Below are 22,167 nucleotides of genomic sequence, written 5' to 3' on the forward strand. Positions count from 1 at the left end.
GAGCAGCGGAAAGCTGTGGGAGGATTTATGCAGGAAAATGACATGTGGGGTTTACAGTCTTCATAGATGAGCCCTGGCTGAGGGATAGGGAACGGATTCAGGGGAGGCCCCATGTGGGTTTGGGGTGTTGTATTCATCCACTTGGTAAATAGGTGAGTTGTCATGGTGGCTGGGGTTTGGAGGGGGACAGAAATGGAGTGGAGGAAACAGGGTGTGCTGTGCTCTTGAAGTAGTCCTACCGGGTAAGCACAGACGCTTGGGGGCTGGCTGTGCTTGTGAAGCTGAATTTGATTCTGTATCAGTGGGAGGCCCTTGGATTGGAGTAGTTAAAGGAGGGAAGTGACCTGAGATCATGTACCCTAGAACTTAAAGTATAATTTAAAAATATATATATATATATGGAAAAAAATTAAAAAAAATGAAAACCTAGAAAGATACAAGGTTCTATGTCATTACATTAAAATTGTAATGCTTAAAAAAAAAACACCTTTAAAGAGGTGGTTTCAGTGTGGTTAATATGGGTTCTCTCCTGTTTTCTTCTTGCCGGGATTGTGAGGACTGTGTGGTACACACCTGTCTGGTAGAGCCCTTCTGAGTTGCTTCCGATGTTCAAATGAGGCGGTATGATGTAATGCAGTCAGACTTCTGGTTCAAAACTCAGCCCTATAGCTCACTAGCTGTGTGACCTTAGACAGCTTGTTTGACTTCCCAGTGCCTCAGTCTCCATCAGTAAAATGGGGGTGAGCAATAGGACCTATTTCATAGGATGGTGTTTTCTAAATTTAATGCAATAGTACATGTAAACTACTTCAAACAGGACCTGGGAAACAGTAAGTGTTTAAGGGACATTAGGTATTATTCTGTTTATGATGGAATGCCAATTTGTACTTATATTATCTTTCTTTACTTCAAAAAACTCGAAAATGCCACTGTGAGCTTAAGGGACCTTGACTTCTCAGCAGCTCTAGTTAATGTAGAAAACATAGTGTATAGAAATTCAAATGTGAAAAGCAGGGGTACAAGTCATCAAGGTTTGAAAATGATCATTTTTATAGATGTAGGGGTACAAGTGCAGTTGTGTTACGTGGATATATTGCTTAGTGGTGAAGTGTGGGCTTCTAGGGCACCCATCACCTGAATATTATACATTGTTGAAACGATGATTTTTGATATCTCTCACTTCCCATGAACTAGAGAACTCATCTTATACAATAAAGCCCATCCTTGAATGTCTTTCATTAATGCTTTTCATTGCTTGTTAAAGGTTAATGTTTTTTATTGAAAAAAAAAAACGTTCCGCCCCCTTTTTTTTCCCTTTGGGGCTTGGTGGTGGCAGGAATGGCCCCCTGCACCTTTCCTTCTCAGTAGAGGTCTCTGTGTGCCTGCCAGCTGGAGGAGACGGAATGTATTACTGGCCTGATATTATAGAAATTTCTAGATGTTACCTTTCAGATTTCCCACAGGGGGACAACTGCTGAGATTAACCGTGTTGCCTATTGTGCAAACATCTGTAAACGCACCACCACAGCAATTGCAGTGGCTCCCCCCCAGCCAGAAACTGCGGAAATCAAATGCCCTGTCTTGCAAACACATCTGTTCACACCTTGAGAGAGGGAGGCTTTTCAGAGCTCCTTGCTCTGAAAAATCTTGGGAGTTTGTTTGTTTGTCCACTCTGTGAGCAATCCACAGTGATCTTGGGAGTCAGAGGTCAAAGGCAAAGGCTTACTGACCTCCCATGCTGTTCCCCCTGTCTTTAGGTCCTTCAAGGGCATGGGTGCTAAGAGGAGCCTCCCTGTGTACCAGGCTCACATCTTTGGACTTGTGATGTTGGCTCATGATGGTCGTGGTCACTCAGACCCCACCAGGAGCTGCTGAATCCAAATGGAGTAGCTCTTGGTGACAGTAAAGTCCACCCCTCCCCTGGCCTGGAGGGTATGTTCTGATTTTGCCAGGAGACAGGTAGCTGAGTAATACTTGAGATCTTGGGAAATGATTTGAAATATGTGGAAGAGAAAAGAAAAAACAGGATTGATACATTCTGCATTAAAAACCTTATTTGGGCACCTTCCCTATTTTCTACCCTCAAAAAAAAAACCCCACAAAAAACAGGATTTGAATGAACATTTGGAAAAATGCCTGGAATCATCAGCCACGAATCACCAGTGCCCACCCCTGAGCAATTTTACTGTAGAGCCACCACAGTGACCAGGCCAGGGAGGGAGCCATGCGTGTGGCAGAAGGAACGGCCGCCAAGTGTTGGCTGCACAGCGCCCCGCGCCTGCAGGAGAGCGGAGACAGGAGAAAGCGAGGCCAGCTGCACTGCAGGGAGATGTCTCTGCCTGTACTTTTTTTTTCTTTCTGGGATCTATTTAGAATAATCTTTGTGTTCAATTTCATTTTTAGATTTTAACACCGAATTCTTTTTGTTCTTCTGGATCCACATATCTAATTTTAGCATTGAAAAGAATTTCACCTAGTTTATTTTTGTATCCTAATCTTTTTTTAGCGTAGGTCAATGGATAAGAAAATCACAAAAACTAAGTGTATATTATCAGCCAAGTGAGCTGCTAGTGCTTATAAACACCCTTTATTTTAAAGACAATGCGAATTTCATTATGTAAACATGTAAAAACCCAGGCCATCTTAACTGATGCCCAGCCGCAGAGGTGAGGTGGCATGGTCATGTTCCTAGATGACATGTTATGAATGGAGTTCCTTCTACATCCAAGCAAAACAGGATTCCATGATTCACAGAGCTTGCAGGCAAGGTTAGACTAGTCAGGAGATTCAGAACAAACAAATCTTTGGTGTTTCACAGTTACAACTCCATAGGAGAGCACCTGATGGTTATACTGGAAGACGAAGCCGATGTCCTTGATGCTATAGATCAGGAGAGATCTGAAAACACACCCAGACCCACCTCCACCCCAACCCAGTTCAGTCAGAGTCTCTTGGGTTAGGACCTGAGAATTTAAAAAAATCTCCACAGTAATTTTAATAAGCAGCTAGAGTTGAGAAACATTGCCTCCCGTAGAGAACAGTCACTGGGAAGCTAGGATTGTACTGTGGTTACCTAGGGTGATGGACTGAGCTAAGCTGAAAGCAGAGCCTTGGGTGGGGAAACTGAGAGGAGTGATCTGTATAGTGCTTGGGAGCAGTGGTTTAATTCCGGCTGTGCTGTGAGGACAGTGATAATTATGCTCCTTCTGAAGAAATCCTTGCAGAAGATGTCACCTTTCCATGAATTGAAAAGGAGGAAAGGTGCTGTGTTTTCAAGCTTCTCCAGATAATCTTAGAAATGTAAGTCGAGAAAGGGAATCATACAAACATCATGTCTTAATTTGACTTAGTACCTAGTATGGGTTTAACATAACACTGTCATAATAATATGGTTTACACACATGCATACAGACTTACCATCCATTCATTGATTCACTGGGTTCCTGCTATGTGCCAGGCATTTCCTAGGGCACTAAGAAAACAGCAGCAAACGAAGAAGGCTGAGTTCCCCTCCGGGAGGGGTCTTACACCGAGCAATCCCAGAATGTCGGCTGGCAAGAAGGGGTGAGTGAGGAATATGCTGGAGGCAGAATGGGGCCCCTAGCCTAGAGTGCCTATGAGAAGACCCCTGTTGGGCCCTGACAAGGGAAGTGGCTTTGCTCTTCCTGCAGGCACAAGCTGTCCATGATGCTGGGACCTCTGATTCATCCACTAGAGCCATTGTCATCAGAACTATTTCTGGAAGTTTCTGAGTAGGTGGCACAGCCCTGTGTACCTAGTGAAGCCCCCCCCCCTTTGATTCAGGGGTCACATTGGGCTGTTTGCGCAAAGAAGGACTCACTGCTTCTTTTTCCCCTTGTGAATAAGTAACAAGCTGTTAAGTACACAATGAATGTACCTCTCTGCAAGCCAGAACTGTAGTGATTGATGGAATCCGATGTTTACTTGTCCCCTCTGTAACCTTAGATTAAAGTCACTGAAATCTTCAGCCTCTACATCAGGAGAATGGCACGCACATGCCAAGGGACGTGGCCAAAATGGCTGGTGGAGCTTTGTGGGAGGCAGAGTGCATGGTCCCTTCCCCAAAGGGATTAGATGCAGAGACATCAGGAGAGCAAGTCAGCTTTTATGGGGAGGGTAACAGTGTAGTCAGAAGCGGCAAGGGAGAAATGATAGGAATTTGTGTTGTGGAGAGAAAGGAAGGAGGCCTGGACAGGGAGGAAGGAGAAGAAACATTACACAAGAACCGATTGCTAATTGGTCAAGAGGGATGGGGAGTGACTGAAGGGCCCCTTGGGTGTGTCACTATTATTCAGTGTCCAGGCTGCTGCAAAAGGACAGCTATTAATAAACATCGTTAAATGCATCTTGTTTTCTTTCTATTGCTTTGTTGTTTATAAAATGCCTGAGTATACATTAATTCCAAGAATCCTCAAAATAACTTTGAGAGGTGTTACTGTGATCAGTATATAAAGAAAGAAGACATTGAAACTCATAGAGGCTAAGTAACTTGCCCCTAATCACACAGCCAGTTAAAAGGCAGAAGCAAATCTCAAATTCAAATATTTGAGCTCCAGCTCCAGCAATCTGAAATGTCAAGATACCTAGTACAATTGGGTTCTGGTCCTGGATGTGCCTGAACATTTTTATGATTTCACATATATCATGTGACTCTCCAAGCCTTTGAAGTTGCATTTCTCTCATTTCCTTGCCTTTCTACATGTCTTATAAAGATTTCTACGCTTACATTTATACCCTCAAGTATGCATGGACACAAAGTCGAGTTTGGGTTTTTTTAAAATCTGGATTAAAAGAAATTTTAAATTCCAACTTTCTTTACCTGATTCTCTCTGTAGCACTGGCCTTTTGTAATATATATTTTTCCAGCCATAGGAAAGAGCTTTTTAATGCTCAGATCCCAAGAGCTAAGGAAGTAGATGGCTATTTATGTTCTGCCAGGAATCTTTATGTTCAGTGAGAGGAAGTGCAACTGCTTAAAACTCTTAACTTCTCTCTCTTACTTTAGAAAGTCAAGCAGAAAAAAAAATGGATTAATTTGACAGATAGCACAGAATAAGAAAAATATTAGAAACAAGAAGAGGCCATTTTTCCTATAGAGGCTCATTTCATTCTATATACCACTTCCCTGGGATATCTGCTAATTGTTAGCAGAAAGAGTAATGTTATCTATTTTTTAAAATTTCACTCTTGAGTACTATGGAGATAATAGCTAAATGATGGAGAAATAACTTTCTTTCACGGTAGTAGTTTAAGAAGGGTAAAAAGAGCTCAAAGGCAGATGTTTGATGACATGAGAAAATTCAGCGACAAATGACAAATTTGATATTTCTATAGGTGCAGTTTTAGAAAGAGTATCTTTTTGCATTGACACTAGAGACCTGTGTCCATCTGTACAAGTGAGGGAACTGCATGTGGGTATTAATAGATGTATTTGTAAGCCCCGGAAATTTTCCAGTTGAAACTTACAACAAAAACAAAAAGTTTCTGTTGTGTTTTGCTGCAGGGCCAATGCAGGAAACCATCTATGACTTCTGGAGGATGGTGTGGCACGAAAACACTGCAAGTATCATCATGGTGACCAATCTTGTGGAAGTGGGAAGGGTGAGTGGACCGTCTGCTGCAAATGGCCATTTTGTTCCTTGCTTAGTTGGTAACAGAAAGTAAGGCATGAGGCAAGCTTTTGAACTATTATGTGTACTCCCCAAAACATTAACTACTCCAGCTCCTCCTATTGCTTGCTGCACTTGCTTATAAATTATCAGTAAACATAGCCTGAATTGCTTTCATTTGTTGCGATAGCAACAGACAGGAAAGGCACTCAAGATTTAAAAGCAGTTGTTATCGGGCCATATTGAGAGCACAAAAATACCTCTAAGCATGAATGCTGATTGTTGAGTGTCAAAACTCAATGGGTGCTGCATTAGACATGACTACCTTCCCAAACTCCCAAAATTGGCTCTAAAAACAGTGTGCAGCTCTAGATTCAATCCTTAGATTAGAATTCCAGCATCTTCTCTTGCTTAAATTGGCCTTTCCTGTGTCTCAGTTTCCAAACCTGTGGAATGGAAAGCATCATCTTTCTGAAGGTCTTGTACTACCTTCTCCGTAGTAACTGTTTATGAGCAGTGCTTTTATTTAACCAGGAAACTTTTACATAGTTGTAATCTCAGTAGTAGTATGCTATAGGATTATTTCCAAAGTGAAATTTTAAAATGAGCAAACACACAGCGTGCAGTTGCCTTTTTTACAGTAGGTTGAATTCCATGGTTGTGCTAACTGAAGAGAAGTTGGCATCATGAGATTTGCCCTCAGCAAAGGCAGCCTAGAGGTTATCCTAGAATTGAAACAGTGAGACAGGAGCCATAAAGGGTTTGTCTCTTAAGATTCTCAGGTTTCAGGAGGCACAAACCAGGAAGAAGAAAGACATCACAATTCTCTCATAATGAGAATATTCAGTAAGTAGGATATATATATATATACATACACACAATATAAGTAGGAGATATATATATGTGTGTGTGTGTGTGTGTATATATATATATATATATATATATATCTAGCAAAAATGGCACATTAACCTGAAAATCCCCCTACAGACATCTGGAAATTCTAGATAAAAATATAAATATGTATTTTAATATGTTTATATGTATATCACATGCATATGCAAATATATATATTTTAAATGTTTAGCTTAGCCCTTAATAAAGACAGCTACTACAGACCAGAAATAAAGTGAGGACTAGAGATCCTAGGGAGTGTAGCGCTTGCATGCACCCTTAGGAGGCTGGGCAGGGGGTTCTGTGTGAGTGTTGGGGGAGGGTGGGCAGCACCAGTCTTTGTGATCTTGGATCCCGGGTTTTAAAGCCCACTGAGGGCAGGAAATAATGTGGACACGTACAATGCTAAGAATTTAGATGTTGACTGCCACACAGAACCAAAACCCACAAACAGTAGACCCTCAGAGAAAGGGCAAACTGGGGAAGTGGAGGTAGGGAGAGGGAGGAGGGAGAAGGGAGAGGAGCACCAGCCAGCCCAGGGAATTGGCAAGGAAGTTACACCATTTTCACTTAGGTAGGATCTGTGGGGGTAAAGCACTTCGGCCAACTCCAGGGTCAAAGTAAACACCTAATAAAATCAGAAAATAATTAGAACTGTGAATCATAAAGTATCATGATAGTGTTAAAGTTGTCACATGCAAATAACATGGTACCAGAGAAGGAAATACATGTTTTTAAATGTTGTTATTAGAAAAGAAGAAATACCAACTAAGCATCTAATTCAAGAAGATAGATGAAGAACAGAGCAAAACCAAAGAAAAAAAAAAGGAAATAATAAACATGAATAGAAATTTATTAACTAAACAGCACAGAAGCAATAACAAAGTTCAACAAAATAAAAAGCTGGTTTTGTGAAAAGGTTAATAACATGGACCTCTGGCAACAGATCAGAAATAAATAGAGAAAAACCACATATAGCCAATAGCAGATTTTTTTTGTACTGCAATAGAATAATATGAATAACAATATATTTGATGAATTAGGTAATTTTCTAGAAAAATATGACTTTCCAAAACTGACTCAAAAAGAAACAGAAATTCTGAGTAGATAATAATTATCTTAAACTCGAATTCTGGTTAAAAATTGACGCATGGAAATGTACCAGTGTATTTATAGGTACTAAATATTCAAGGAACAGATAATTCAAATGTTGTAAATGTTAAAAATATATAACATTTTATAAATATATAAAAATACATAAATTATATACATTTTATAAAAATTATTCTAAGAGAACAGAAAAGAAAACTTGTTCCCCCATTTCATTTTAAGAGGTTAGTATAACCTCAATATCAAAACCAGACAAGACTACAGTAAAAGGTAAAATTATAGGTGCCACACATAGATAGGAAGAGATGAATAGACCAGTAGGTCCAAGCAGGCCAGATGTAAGACACCAAAAGCCCAACATATTAAGGAATAGGATAGGAAAATGTATGATAGTAAGATTTACGTAAAATTATCTGTATTACAAAGGGTATAATAAGTGACCAGACAAGGGGGGAGGTACTATGGGGCTATTATGCAAAGTTTAAACACTTCCAGAGCAATATTTTATATACTAAAAGTATAGAAACCATTTCTTTCTTTCAATGATGTCTCTGCCGGGAGCCAGCATGGGAGTGCAGGTGAGCTGGTGAGGAGGCTACTGAGGCAGGGAGGACCACCAGCCCGGCCTAGAAGAGGGTGCTGGGCCTCTCCTTCCACAGACCTTTCTCTGGAAAGAGGAAACTAGCAGTACTGTGTGTCCACCTGGTTGGGCTGCCATAACCAAATGCCACAAGCCAGGAGGCTTACACAACAGACATGTACTATCTTCCTGTTCTGGAGGCTGGAAAGTCCCAATCCGGGTCTGGCAGGATTCTGCTTCTGGTGCAGGCCCTCCTCCTGGCTTTCATGTGGCCACCTTCTTGCGGCAACCTCACGTGTCAGAGAGAGCGCACGCTCTGTGGTGTCTCTTCTTACAAGGACACGAATCCTATTGGGTGAGGGCCCCACCTTAATGACCTCATTTAACCATCATTATCTCCTTGGAGGCCTGTCTCCAAATACAGTCACACTTGGGGTTTAGGGCTTCACCATTTGAGTTTTGGGGGTACACAAATATTCAGTCCATAACAGCCTGCTTAATGGGGTTCTCGTAAAGATTCAGTGAGTTTCCACATGTCAGGAGGTTAGAGAAGTTCCTGCCCATTCCGAGGACTCAATAATACAGCTATTAGTGTAACCGTAGGTTTCCACCAACAAACCTAAGACTGAAGAAAAAGACCCTTTTTGTTCCGCACACCAAATCTACCTACTTTTACTATGAAAACATTAATGACTATTGAAAAAAAAAAGGCCAACTCCACTGGAAAGCAAGTTCCTTGAAGGGAAGAGATGGCCTTGCTCAGCAGCCTCTCCCTCCAGGCCCAGGGCCCTGAGCAAATGCCCAGCAAGGTGAATAAAGAGAGTACCTCGCCATAGTGTCACGGAGCACACCAGAGCCACCTCATGTAGCCTAAACATTTCATCTGCTTTCATGTGCTTGTGTTTCTTCCCCTGAGAGGTATAGTCCCATCTGACTCCTTCATTTACTTCACACATCCTTGCTGACCACCCACATGTGATGGGGAGAAAGAGGTACCTGGAGCCCACTCTCGGGTGCCTTCCTTTCACAATCCCAGCACTCCCAGAAAGTTGTGCACCCGTGCACACGTTCAATATTTGCACTGGAGCTCGCTTACAGGAAGAGTCCTCAGTAAATTATTTTGAAAAGTAGATAATTGCTAAATAACAACTATTACTGGATTTTTAAAAATAAAGGCACATGTATTTTTTGCTTAATTGGAATTCCAAAGGACACCACTGTGTCTGGACTCAGTGGCTTAAAAGGTTAAGCTGATTTTGTATGATACAGCCTTTTACTTTAAGGAAAGATGAGGACAGCATAGTCTTTGGTTGAAAAGTCAAAAGAAAATTGTGCTGTAAAATTACTGCAGCAAAAAATAATAATTACACACTAAAGCCCACTGTGTCTGAGACATGGCACAATTTTCAGGGAGCCAGGTTTCATTCAGAGCGACCTGGGTTTAGAAAAGGAATGAAAATGCTATGCAGTGGTGGTCGCTGTTCCTTCCATCAGGCACCTGGACCCGTCACATCCAGGGTAGTCACTGGTGATTTTTATGACAGCAACTATTCCTTCTGACAAATAACCATGGAAATTTTGTTTCCAATAAGGTGTGGCTGAAGTGGGTGGTGGTAACTAGGTTTCTGGTTTACCCATAAATCTAAGTCCGTAGATTTAAAGTAACTCAACCATTTCAGGTCTGGTAAGGTTATTAAAAAAAAAAATTTCTTCCAAATCCTTACCAGGTTTGTGGGGACACGGGTAAGCTCTGAAGAGGCCCCACCTCATTGCCATCAGCCCCTTGGATGGGCCTGACTTTAGTAATGAAATTATGGCATCTGTCCTTGAAATGTCTGGCATGATTTGGGGGTTTTGACAAGAGGTCATGTTCCCTCATGGGAAAAGCACTCTCCTTGTTCCAGGCTGTTTCCCATTGTTAATCCTGCACATTTGTTTACAGATAGCTCCTCCATTTTTAGCTTAAAAACAACAACAACAAACCACCCAAGAAATCAAAATGACATGGTTTTTAAGGGCAATAGCTACCTACTTAACATGTGTACCGCACATAGTGCGTCCTTCATGCATTAAGCATGAGCTAGGCGGATGCGTGTTTGTTTACACAGACTTGCTGCCGATTCATTAAGGCAGAGCTGGGGACCTGCTTCCCCCCATTTTGCCCTGAAGCGCTCTGCATTAGGCGGCCCTAATTGCTGGTGTTGGAGCCGCCAGGAGACCTTTCCTGTCGCAGCACCTGGTGCAGAAGACATAGATGCTGCACTTCCCTCCAGCGGGGTCCCCGGTACATCTGACAGGACCTGTCATTATCTAAGACTTCCTTGTCACCACCATGCCTCCCCTTTTAGCCCACGTGTTCTGGGAAGAGACCCTTGTCAGTTTTCCTGGCACCTGCCACCGGCTGCACACCTGGCATTGAAATGGCGCTGGAACGTGTTGTGATTATTTTCCCTCTTTAATGAACCCACCTGAGGGACATTTAGTTTCTTAATCCAGTCGCCTGTTTCCCAGGCATTCCCATTTACACCGTTTGTGTGGAGATTCAAAAACTCTGTTGTGGTATTGAGCTGTTCCATCTGCCAGAAGTCTTATAACCAAATCTGCAGGACTCCCAAAGGAGACTTTTTACACCGGTAATTTAAGCTAATTATTTCTAAACATATTTAGTCAGTTTTATGAAGACCTCATTAGAATGTGACTGTTTATTAAAAATCCAAATGAGGTCTCACAGTCACTTAGGAAAATTATTGTTGAGTCACTCTGAATAGTTCTGATAACAGAAGATAAAATGTTTTGGAGCTGAGAGAAGTGGGGACCAGAGCTGTGGACCTCTATCACAGTAGGGGATGGGAAGAAACCACCTACATGGATTCTTGGATATTTTCCACCCAAGGAGCCTGCCCTAAAATTCCTCTCACAGTACTTGTCACTAAAAGAGTCATGAAAGGAAAAGTTTACTATGAACACTAGACGTCAGAACTAACAACTTTCTAATTCACATACAAGGAAGGTATATTAAGATTCCAGGTGCCCCTCTCACAGCCAAGAAAAAAACATCTTCTTTTGTGCAACAGCCACCAGACCCAGGATCAATGAGGAAGCAAGAGAGAGGCAAGGTTGCCCTTTTATAAAAAGTGTGGAAATACTGGTTAATTATAAGAATAAAAATATTAGTAATCGTTTTTACTACAAAATCTCTTGAGTTGTTCCAAGACATCAAACTCATAAGAAAGGGAAGAGGGAAATTGTTTTTATAGACATTGCTGACAGTTTTCCGTCTTGAGCACTCACTGTTACTTTCATAGGTCCTTTTTCATAAACTGATATTTAAGATTGATCTTTTGTGACCTGTGTAATTACAGTCTTAGCCTTTGAATAATTTATGCTCATTCAGCAAACACTCCTCATCTCAATCTACTGTCATCCTTTCGCCTATCATAGGATGAAGCTGACATAAGCCTTACCTCCCTCCTGCATGTTACCCCTGGGCATTTAACTGCTCATTGGCCATCTCTACCTCTGTGTCCCACAACTGGCACAAACCAAGCACCTTAGAAACTAAGCTTGTCCATTCATCTTCAGACTCCTGGTCCCCAGTACCTATTCTTATCATTCAGGCTTGAAAACAAATTTCATTTTGTACTCAGCCCAATCCAATGTCAAGCCATAAAAACACCATGTGAACAGCACACCTGCCTCCTGTTTTCAAGGTGCCTCCAGTGCAGCTTGGGAATTCACAGTCTTTCATATCAGTCCCAGTAGCAGCGTCCCCACTGGTCACCCTGGTGTTCACACTGGTCACCCCAGCATCCACAGTGGTCACCTTGTGCTGTTGTGGTCTCAGAGGCCAAAATGGATGCCCCATTATCAACTAAGACAGAAAGGTGAAGGAAACAGAGTTACCTACAGGTTGAAGGTTCAGGGCCTGTCGGGGCAAATCCTCTAAGTTCCTATGGCCAAACTCCCTACCAATAGGAGCTACAGCTCTGAGTCACAACCCAGACCACTGCAACTCTGACTGGCCAGAGGACCAGCCTTGAAAACACTCTTTCCTGATAAGCAGCTGTAGATCTTGAGCCCATTTCGGCAGCTCATAGAGGCTGCATACAGACTGTCTTTGTGTCCCATAGCTGACCTTTTGATGTAAAGAGCCAAATGCCATTTTCTTTTCATGGTAAAAACCCCACCCCAAAGTGAACATGGGATGTATGGTACATGTATGTTTACCTATTGCACATGTGCTCAGCTCCCCTTATAAATATGTATAGCTTTCCCCCCAAACCTGCTGATATGTATGACTCTGTTGTGTGATACAGACCTGGTGAGGCATAAAAGCCAACCTGTCCTTCTTTCTGAAGAGAGAGCACCTTCAGTCCATGCTGGAGACTCTTCCCAGCTTGCAAACCGATAACCCCCATAAAGCTCTCCTTTCTACTGTCCAGCCATCCTGGTGGTCTTTTAGACAACACCATCTTCTATCCATTCCATGTGTCAGTGCTGCATTAATTTTTATAAACATTGGCTCCTGACACACCACTCATCTGTTCAGAATCCTTCAGTGATTCCTGTCGAATCCAGAACAAAGCCCAAACCTCAAGATCCCTCTATTCTGTGCCTTCACAGTGTGGCTCTAGTCTACGGCAAGCTTATTTCCCAGCATTCTCTTACAAGTGTTTGAAGTGCCAGGCAGACAAAGTATTTGCCATTTGCCACACACGCCCAGCACTGCATTCCTTGTGCTTTTGGTGCTGTCTGGCCCATGCACAGTGGAGCTCTCCAGGAAAACCCCTGCCAGTTTGGAATGCTCTAGGTCTACACAGTCGCCTGCAGAGCCTCTAGTCGCAGGGGTCTACTGAGTATTTTCAGTGTGGTTATTGTGACTGAGAGATTGACTTCTGAGGTTTATTTCATTTGTATTAATTTAAATTGAAATGTCCACATGTGACTAATGGCTTTTGTCTGGGACATTGCAGGGACAGCACCTCCTTGCCTTCCTCCTTATGCCTGCTTAACCAGGGCCCTTCATTTAATACTAATTGAAAATTCCACCCTTTCTAAGAAGGAAACCCGACCTGATTATTCAACTGGCTATTTTATCTCCCTCATCAGCATCCTCTCTGTATGTCACTTGCCATATTCTGTCCTTTAGTATAAGTTTTAGCCCTTCCTCATTTATAGTAAGTCAGTCAGAGAATCAGAAGGCCTTGGCTCTTCCCATGCCCATTGCAACATCTCTGAGCCCCAGATTCGTCATCTGTTAAGCATAGGGAATGATGCACTAATACCCTTCTGTGTCACGGGATTACTGTAAGGATTACAGAATAAATTGAGCATCTGTTGTGCCTGTTTCCACTTCTGCAAACTCACCTTCTCAGCCATTCCTGTGCACAACCACCAGGCTGTGGGTCCTTCCAGGTAGGCCCAGTAGAAGCAATTGGTCAAGAACCTTTCCCTAAATCTGGCCACAGGGACGGCCTCTCTGTTGTCAGAGATGGTGGAGTTTGCACCTTGCCTTGAATTCCTTCAATTCTGTAGGTCATGAATTATCTGTTTCTGCTGGAAATAGCAGCAATTCCTAAACTAGAATTGCTGTAACTTTAACACAAAACTAGAAGTCAAAGAGGAGATTGGCAGTGTGGCCTGTGATGATTCCCATCCAGACACTGCCAGGCTTCACGCCACTACCCCCAGCACATCAGCCAAGAAAGGAGGCACTAACGAATACTGAGCTATCAGCAGCAGGAGAAAGGCCTTCTACAGACTCCTCAACACCAGCTCCTCCAGGAAAGATGGTTCCCTGGCTGCCCTGGTGAACCTGGAGGTTTTCTCTGCCTGAAAACCTCAGTTCCCCTCTGTAAAAAGTTCAACCAAAGAGCTCAATTTGTCATGTTCACAAATTAGCCCAAAGATAGGCTTTTTAATCCCTTCTCAGCACAATTTAACCCAACATTTAGTGCTGTACTTACTGTATCTATGACACTAATAATCCAAAGATAGTTATAATTCACTTGTCCTCAAAGAATATCACCTGTGGTCATTGAGAACCGTATATCAACAATGAACTGTGATACATGTTCAGAATGTGATAGTACCAACAAAGGGACTCATTCTGCCTGTGGCAATCTAGGTCTTCTCGGAGCACGTGGTAAAGAGCTGGACCTTAGTAGGAGGAAGGATTTTATTTTGTCTTTATTTTAGATTTAGGGGGCACATGGGCAGGTTTGTTAAATGGGTATATTTAGTGGTGCTGAGGTTAGGGCTTCTAATGATCCCATCAACCAAACAGTGAACATAGTCCCCAGTAGGTAGTTTTTAAACCCTTTCCCTCCTTCCTCTCTCCTCCCTTTTATATTCCCCAGTGTTTATTCCCATCTTTGTGCCGTGTATACCCAACGTTTAGCTCCCACTTACAAGTGAGAACATAGTATATTTGGTTTTGTTTCTGAGTTAATTCACTTAGGATAATGGCCTCCAGCTGTACCCATGTTGTACCAAAGGACATGATTTCATTCTTTTTCTTTTCTTTTTTTTTTTTTTGGTTTGGTTTTTTTTGTTTGTTTGTTTGTTTGTTTTGTTTTTTGAGATGGAGTCTCACTCTGTCACCCAGGCTGGAGTGCAGTGGCACGATCTTGGCTCACTGCAACCTCCGCCTCCTGGGTTCAAGCAATTCTCTGCCTCAGCCTCCCAAGTAGCTGGGATTACAGGCACCCACCACTACGCCTGGCTAACTTTTTGTATTTTTAATAGAGATGGGGTTTCACCATCTTGGCCAGGCTGGTCTTGAACTCCTGACCTTGTGATCCACCTGCCTTGGCCTCCCAAAGTGCTGGGATTACAGGTGTGAGCCACCCCACCCGGCCCGATTTCGTTTTTTATGGCTATGTAGAAAATGTGTATATACCACATTTTCTTTATCCAGCCTACCATTGATGGACACCTGGGTTGATTCCATGTCTTTGCTGAGGAAGCATTTTAAATGGCAGGAGTGAGACAGTAACCACTTCAGCAGCATAAGGAAGGGAAAGCACAGGAAGGGGAGGAAATGGCAAGATGGAGAAAGAGCTAGTGGCCTGCCTGATGCAGCTGATGAGGGAAGAACTCTGAGGCCGGGAAGCTAACTGCAGGCTTGTTGATGAGGATTTGAAATGTGTTTCTAGGAAGGAAGGAGAGGTAGCAAGTGGGCAGTGTGTGTGTTTGTTTGTTCACTTTAATGGAAGGCATTGAGGTAGTGAATCGTGTTCTAATTGGTATTGAAAAGCAATCTTGGTGACCATTAAGAAAAGGCTGAGAAAGGCTATGGAAGAGTATGGAGACACGTTTAGGAGGTTAGAGCAAGGCTCTAGGTGAAAGATGATGTGGGCTTGAGTTTGGGCAGAGGTGTTGGGAGCTTATGAGGAGTATACAGTTTGGGTGTTATGGTGGGTAGGTGGTGCTGATAAGGAAGGAGGAGAACTTGAGAATGAACCAGGGTTTCTACCACTGTGACTTGGGTTGCTATAAAGGATATTAACCAAGAATGGGTATCTCTTTCCAGCCCACCCCCACACCCCCAAATAAAAGTAGGTGTAAGGAGAGGCAATGTGTTTCATCTTGGACATGCTGAGTTTAAGAAGCTGAATGAGCAATAATGTGGTGCTTTCCAGGAAGCTCAAGAGAGAGATGTGAGCTGAAGACACAGAAACAAACTATGAAATATTAGCGTCCCCCTTTATTCACAAGCATCTACTGTGTGTTAGGCTTTGGCTGCACTGAGGATATCAAGATGAAAAGACATGGCACAAACTATGGGACAAAAAGGCAAACAAAAAAGAGTATAATGCGGCTGGGCGCAGTGGCTCACACCTGTAATCCCAGCACTTTGGGAGGCCGAGGCAGGTGGACTGCCTGAGGTCAGGAGTTTGAGTCCAGCCTGGCCAACATGGTGAAACCCCATCTCTACTAAAACCACAAAAAATTAGCTGGGCGTGGTGGCGGGTGCCTGTAATCCCAGCTACTTGGGAGGCTGAGGCAGGAGAATCGCTTGAACCCAGGAGGCGGAGGTTGCAGTGAGCCTAGATCGCACCATTGCACTCCAGCCTGGGTGACAGAGTGAGATTCCGTCTTAAAAAAAAAAAAAGTATAATGCAAAGTGATAACCACTGCAACAGAACAGAGTTCTTGGGAGAAAGTGGAAAGAGAAAAGAGGAGGACTCACAACAGAACACTGGAGAATATCTGTTTCTGGGGGCAGTCGGGAGGAACAGCTGGGATGGAGTCTGGAAAAGGAAAGCAAGAGGAATAGGGCGAGAACAAAGAGACCCAGATCATGAGAACGAAGAGAAGACAGCATTTCAACAGGAAGGGGATAGCGACCAGGTCACGAGCTACAGAAAGGCCAGGTAAACAGGAATCAGAGAGCAAGGTAGAGAGAAAGAATGTACTGAGTCAGGCATCCTGCTAAATGTTTCACAAGCCCTATTGCTCTTATCACAGCTACCCTGAGTACATTTAAAGATTCCTATTTTTAAACTAAGTAAGGCTTGGTGTGGTTAAATAATTTGGCCAAGGGCATAGAGCTAGAATTGAAACTTTGGTCTGTCCAGTTCCAAAGCCCATGCTCTCTCCCCATTCCACAGTGCCCCCCGTTAGCACTGGAGATGTCTTTGGTACGTACCAAGTTCCCATGGGATGATAGAACCAGGAATCCAGCAGCAGTAGAACAGTGGCTAAGTGTGCAGCAAAGATGCAAATGTAGCTTGTTCTTGGAGCAGCGAGTCACAGGAGAGAGATGAAGCAGCACCTAGAAGGGAACAGGGTCTAGACAGTGATTATAATGGTTGGGAGTGTGTTTTTAGTGATAGAGTAGACATAAGAGTAACTGGGAGTCTGAAAAGAAGATGTAATTGCCTTCTCAAACTAAAGGTACAAGAAAAGGGGAAAAGTGACAGAGGAAAATCACAGACAAGACAGAAGGGGATGCCTTCAGTTCATAAGCATATGCTGCATTCACACCACTCAATGTGCAGTCACAGAAAGCCAGGGATGCTAAGACAAATTAAGTGTGTCCCTGTACACAGGGAGGGGGCATCAAGCAAAGGGATGAAATTCCGTGATAAAGGTTTCACAGCATGCTGTGGAAGTTCATGAAAGAGGCACCTCATCTAGCTGTGGAGTTGAGTGGAGGTTGAAGGGATTTGTCAATAAATGCATCTCAGAACAAGGGGTGCCTGGTGCTGAGTACAGGAGGTGGGAGAGCAAATGAAAATTAATTGGCAAAGGAGGGAGGGAAGGTGTTCCAGGCAGAGGCAACCACAGGACCCTGGAGGGAAGCTGCAGGGATTCAGTATGAACCAGGGGAGATAGGGAATGGGGATTCTAGGGAGAACTGAGGCCTTGTCATGGATATACCACGTCAGGAATTGGGCTTCAGCTCATGAATGACAGAGAGCCCCAAAGGATTTGGGTGTGGAAGTGACAAGGGGAAAGGGCCACACTGGAGATACTGCAGAGACAGAGTGGATCATCCAAAGGCAGAACAATCAGCATCTGACTTAACAAGGAAAAGGTTACTGGCAACCTTTTGCCTCAGTGTTTTCAGACTGATGGCCTATCTGAGTTCTTTGATTACATGCAACAGAAATCAACTCTGGCTAATTTCAGGAAAAGGGAAAAGAATATTATAAGCTCAAAATGTTGATGTGAAGAGTAAGGCTTACAAAAGATAGGAAAGAAGGTAACAGCTCCAGAGGGCTAGTGAGCCAAATGGGTCTCACAGCCAGACAGTCTAGTCAAGGCGCTGATGCTAAGACAGTGAGCTCTCTGGTCTCTTTGTCACTGTGCTCAGGATTCTAATAACAAGGATAGAACCTCCGACTCCCAAAGGTTGGTTCATGTGCTCATCCCTCGCTGTCCAGGGCCTCTAATTGACAAGCCACCCAATAGGGAAGAAGTAATTCCCCAAAAGGAAGTCAAGGATCCATTAGGAAGGATGAATGGATGAAATGGATGTTGACAGACCAAATGATGCATTCAGTACAAACGGCAAGCACTGAAGCCAGCCTGCAGCGTTGAGGCAGGAGTAGCAAATGAGGATGCATAGACTGAGTGTGGACTTGACAGAAGCTTAGCTCTGCAGGGAAAAGAGAGGAGTGCAGCTGTAAACAGAGGAGCATTTCTGATCAAAGGATATTTATAAGGTGAAAGACCCTTGACAGTAGTTATGTGTTAAGGAAAAGAATCAGAAGAGAGGGAGAGACTGGACATCTTGGGAAGTGGACGGAGTCTTTGCCAGGGAGCCAGGAGGGAAGGGACCCTGAGTGCAGGTCCTCCATTCAACCTTACAAGAGATGACATCTTTTCCTCTGAGCCTGCAGAGCAGAGACAGGCGTGGACACACTTAAATAAATTGAACCAAACAGAAACACACTCAGGATGGCACCCTCTCCTGGTAACAGTGGTTTTCCCAGTGTAGTAAGGAACAAGGCCATGGGCTGAGAAGCTGGACGAAAAGGGAAGTAGCTATTTTAGGGATGCATCAAGGACATAGGTAAAGGTGTTCGCCTGGAATGGGAGTGACCTCTTCTCTGGGGAGAAGGTAAGGATGGGCAGATATAAGTGAGACTCCAGTTGGCGGCTACAGGATGCAGGTAGGTGGAATCCCAGGACAGCCAATAGCCCAAATCCTCCAGGTACTAGTGGCAGGGGAATGTGACTCCAAGGAGAATAGGGTGTTGTGAGCGTTTCTAGGTGAACTGAAAACCAACCCATTCTTACCCCACACCTTACTTTTTGCAACCTTGGAATGAAGGGAATTATCCATATGAACTCTAAAATTCCATGTTTATATGAGAGATATTTTCCTGTTTGCTGTTTACATTTTGGTGACGGGATCCATTTGAATAACAAAAGCATCTGCACTCCAGATCCAGTTTAATCCACATGCTTCCAGAGTCCTTGATGCTTCCTGTACACTCTGAATACCACCAACAGCAGAAAACGATTGAGTGTGGATTGTTAAAGGGGAAAGATTCAGGACAAAAACATGAGGACTGTCACTCCCTTGGGAGAGAGCCCTCCGCTCCCATGTCCTCTGCACTGTTTTCACATGAATTGTGTAGAGGATCTGGAATGGAATGTTGCCATGTGATCAGGTACCAGTGAGACAAATTCTGTCAGTGATCCTTCTGTATTTTAATTTATGCAGACCATAAAAGATATTCAGTCTGTTCTCTAATTTATAGACCTTCTTTTGAAAATAATCTAATCTGACTACAGTAAACTAAGATTTTTGAAGAAATATATCCTTTTCAGAAGTTCTCAAAATTACTTAAAGCTATCCCCCCAATTTGTCAACTGCCACAATCAGTCGCACCCGGTGAGCACATTTCCGTGTCTTTACCTAGTGATCAGCAGGGCCGCAGCGGGTTCCTGCCTGCAGTAGGGAGGGGGTCCTTGGAGAGAATGTGGTTTCTTTGGAGGACTCTCACGATCGTTTAATGAAGATATCTATGCATGCCCCGTTGTGTTCTGTATAATTGCAAGTGTGACTGTTACCTCTGGAAGATCTCCTTAGGCAACGAAATGGCTATTTTACTCAAAGTGTTTAATCAATAGAGAATCATCGTTTCACATCCGTCAATTCAATTTGGACAGCAAATCCATTTAATTAAAGGTAAACTGTGGTTTAAAGGAGATGCAAAAACATATACAATTATAAAACAACTTCATTTAACCAGGAAACACTTAATTGACTACAAACTGGGTAATGATTTTGAAAAATATGAGACTAAAAGAAACACATACTCGCAGACTAAAGCAAGGAGAAAACCATATAACTTTTTTCTCCAATCTTATTGAAGGCTTATTCAGTATTTTAAATACTAAGTTCTGCATTTTATAACTTAGAGTAATGAGGTTTCTTATATAAAACTTCATATCATATGCCAACCCCAACCTCTGTAAACTTTATTCTGATAGTATTCCTGCAAATACATACATACACAACATATTTACACATGCACATTTTTGTTTAAGGCTAGCTATTCCCCCCCCCACACACACACACATTTGCCTGCGTGAGTAACCAGACTAGATCTCTTTTACAATTTTCACATTCCCCATATCTGATCAGAGGTTCTTCCCAAATGTATGCACATGACACGCACACACACACACACACACACACACATGCATACACTTGGACATGCACACACACACATCCCTATCTCCATTTCAGAAATGTTCTTTGCTTTGTTGGGAGCAGGAAGCCACTGTTTGTTCTGAGTGCAGACCATGGTCTCTCTTGTTCTGAATTCTGGTGAGTTGTCACCATGAATGAATGAATTTCCTGTGGGGAAGACAGGATCATCTTCCTATCTGTTTCTCACGCCTCCTGTGTCTCTGCTGTTGCCAGTGTTAGAAACCTTAACCCCTTGGAGTCTGTTCATCTCTCTTGCTGGTTCTGCTCCCTGGTATGCGTGCAGCTAGTGACTGTGCAGGCATCAGGTGACCTCTCCGCCTACTTTAGGCAAAAGCCAGAGAATAAAAGAGAGGATCCTTCAAGACATGTACAACCCAATTATAGAGGTATTACATAAGGTTGTACACGAGAAGGAACAAAACACCTTCAGCTGCCATGTTGCCTTCCCTGCCAGACCATAGGCTTCTGTGAGCAGAACCCCGAAAGGCTGGACACAGAGAAAGTATGAGTGACTGTTTCAGGAGAGGTGGAAGAATAATTACAAAGGAACATGTAAGCTGCTGCAAAATAACTGAGTGCATACGAAGGGAATTTCTGTGTACTGCCCTCCTTCTGTTGATTTCTTCTACATTGGAAGAAGAGACTTGAATCTGAAGCCATACAAATATGTATAATATATTCACTAAGGATGTGAGTGAAGGTCACTACACCTGTTTGAAATGACAGAAATGTGTCTACATTTAGCCTACCCAATTAATCCTTTTGTATTAAATACTTGGTAATTCAGCCTAATCCATTATGTCCCTTTAAAAAGACAAAAAAAGCAAAAGTCGTTTTCACTCAAATATCGATGAAATACAAATCAGGCTTCAGAGACAATTCTTTATGTGCTATAAGTCATCTGACACTTTTGTGTCAGCCATCTCTCATGCTGCCACAGTGGCAGGATATTACAGGATCAAAGCAAATTTGCAGGTCTGAATAACAAGTGCTGCTCTGAGCACGCTCTCCTGGCTCCTCCAGGTAACTGCGAGCTGGGTGCAGATCAGCTCTTTCACATTGTCTAGCTGAGCCTATGGAGACACCTGTGCCTGGGCACCTGCCTCCATGGTCACCCCTGCGGAGCCCTGTCGCTAGCCTTCAATGGACACTCTTGCTGCTTTGCCATAATTGGCTGACCCTGGAAAATCCTCACTTACATCTGTGCCTGGACTTCTTGTCTCTTTGCCATTTTACTGGCCTGGGCTTGGGGCCTCTGTTGTGTCACTCTGTCACCTCTAACTTTGTCTGCCACAGTCTTTGGGGTACATACAGGTGGTCACCTGCCTTTGTATCTAAAAAGTGCTTCAGAGGGCAGGGAGCCTGCATGTGTAGCAGATGGACAAGTGCACCTGGGACCGATGCATCACAGCCTGAGCGGTTTTACAGTGTGGTTCCAGCACATTCCTACCTGCTCGGGTGTGCACAGCTGGAGTTTCCCGGCACCATCATTGGACGCAATATGGGACAGTCTCAGAGCTGCAATAGTCTGCCTTCCTTGTTCTGCTCACGAGCCCTTGAAAGTCAGTTTTTCTCCCGTTTTGCGCACAGCAGGTATATCCTATTCTTGAACAATTTGCTGAAAAGCAGTAAATGAGGTCCTTTCTTGAAGGCAGGATTCTTTTCTCCTTTCTCTACTTTCCAAATCTACTCCCTGAGCCCTTCCTCTGCCTTAGAAGGCTTAGGGTTGTCTGGCCACATAAATACATGAGTAACCACTGGGGCCTCTCCCAGGAGGA

The 22,167-nt window shown here is 43.3% G+C and overlaps 1 protein-coding gene across 29 annotated transcripts in view; it reads left to right on the forward strand.

Moving 5' to 3' along the window:
- Window positions 1-22,167, forward strand: part of PTPRM (protein tyrosine phosphatase receptor type M) — an 839,541-nt gene that overhangs the window by 770,583 nt on the left and 46,791 nt on the right. For all 29 annotated transcript variants that reach the window (XM_011525708.3, XM_047437715.1, XM_011525712.3 and 26 more), the window contains one exon: window positions 5,525-5,622. In XM_011525708.3, the coding sequence (XP_011524010.1) occupies window positions 5,525-5,622 (98 nt within the window). The remainder of the gene's footprint in view (window positions 1-5,524; window positions 5,623-22,167) is intronic.

Source organism: Homo sapiens, chromosome 18, assembly GCF_000001405.40.
Source record: "Homo sapiens chromosome 18, GRCh38.p14 Primary Assembly".
In the NCBI taxonomy this organism is placed as follows: Eukaryota; Metazoa; Chordata; class Mammalia; order Primates; family Hominidae; genus Homo; species Homo sapiens.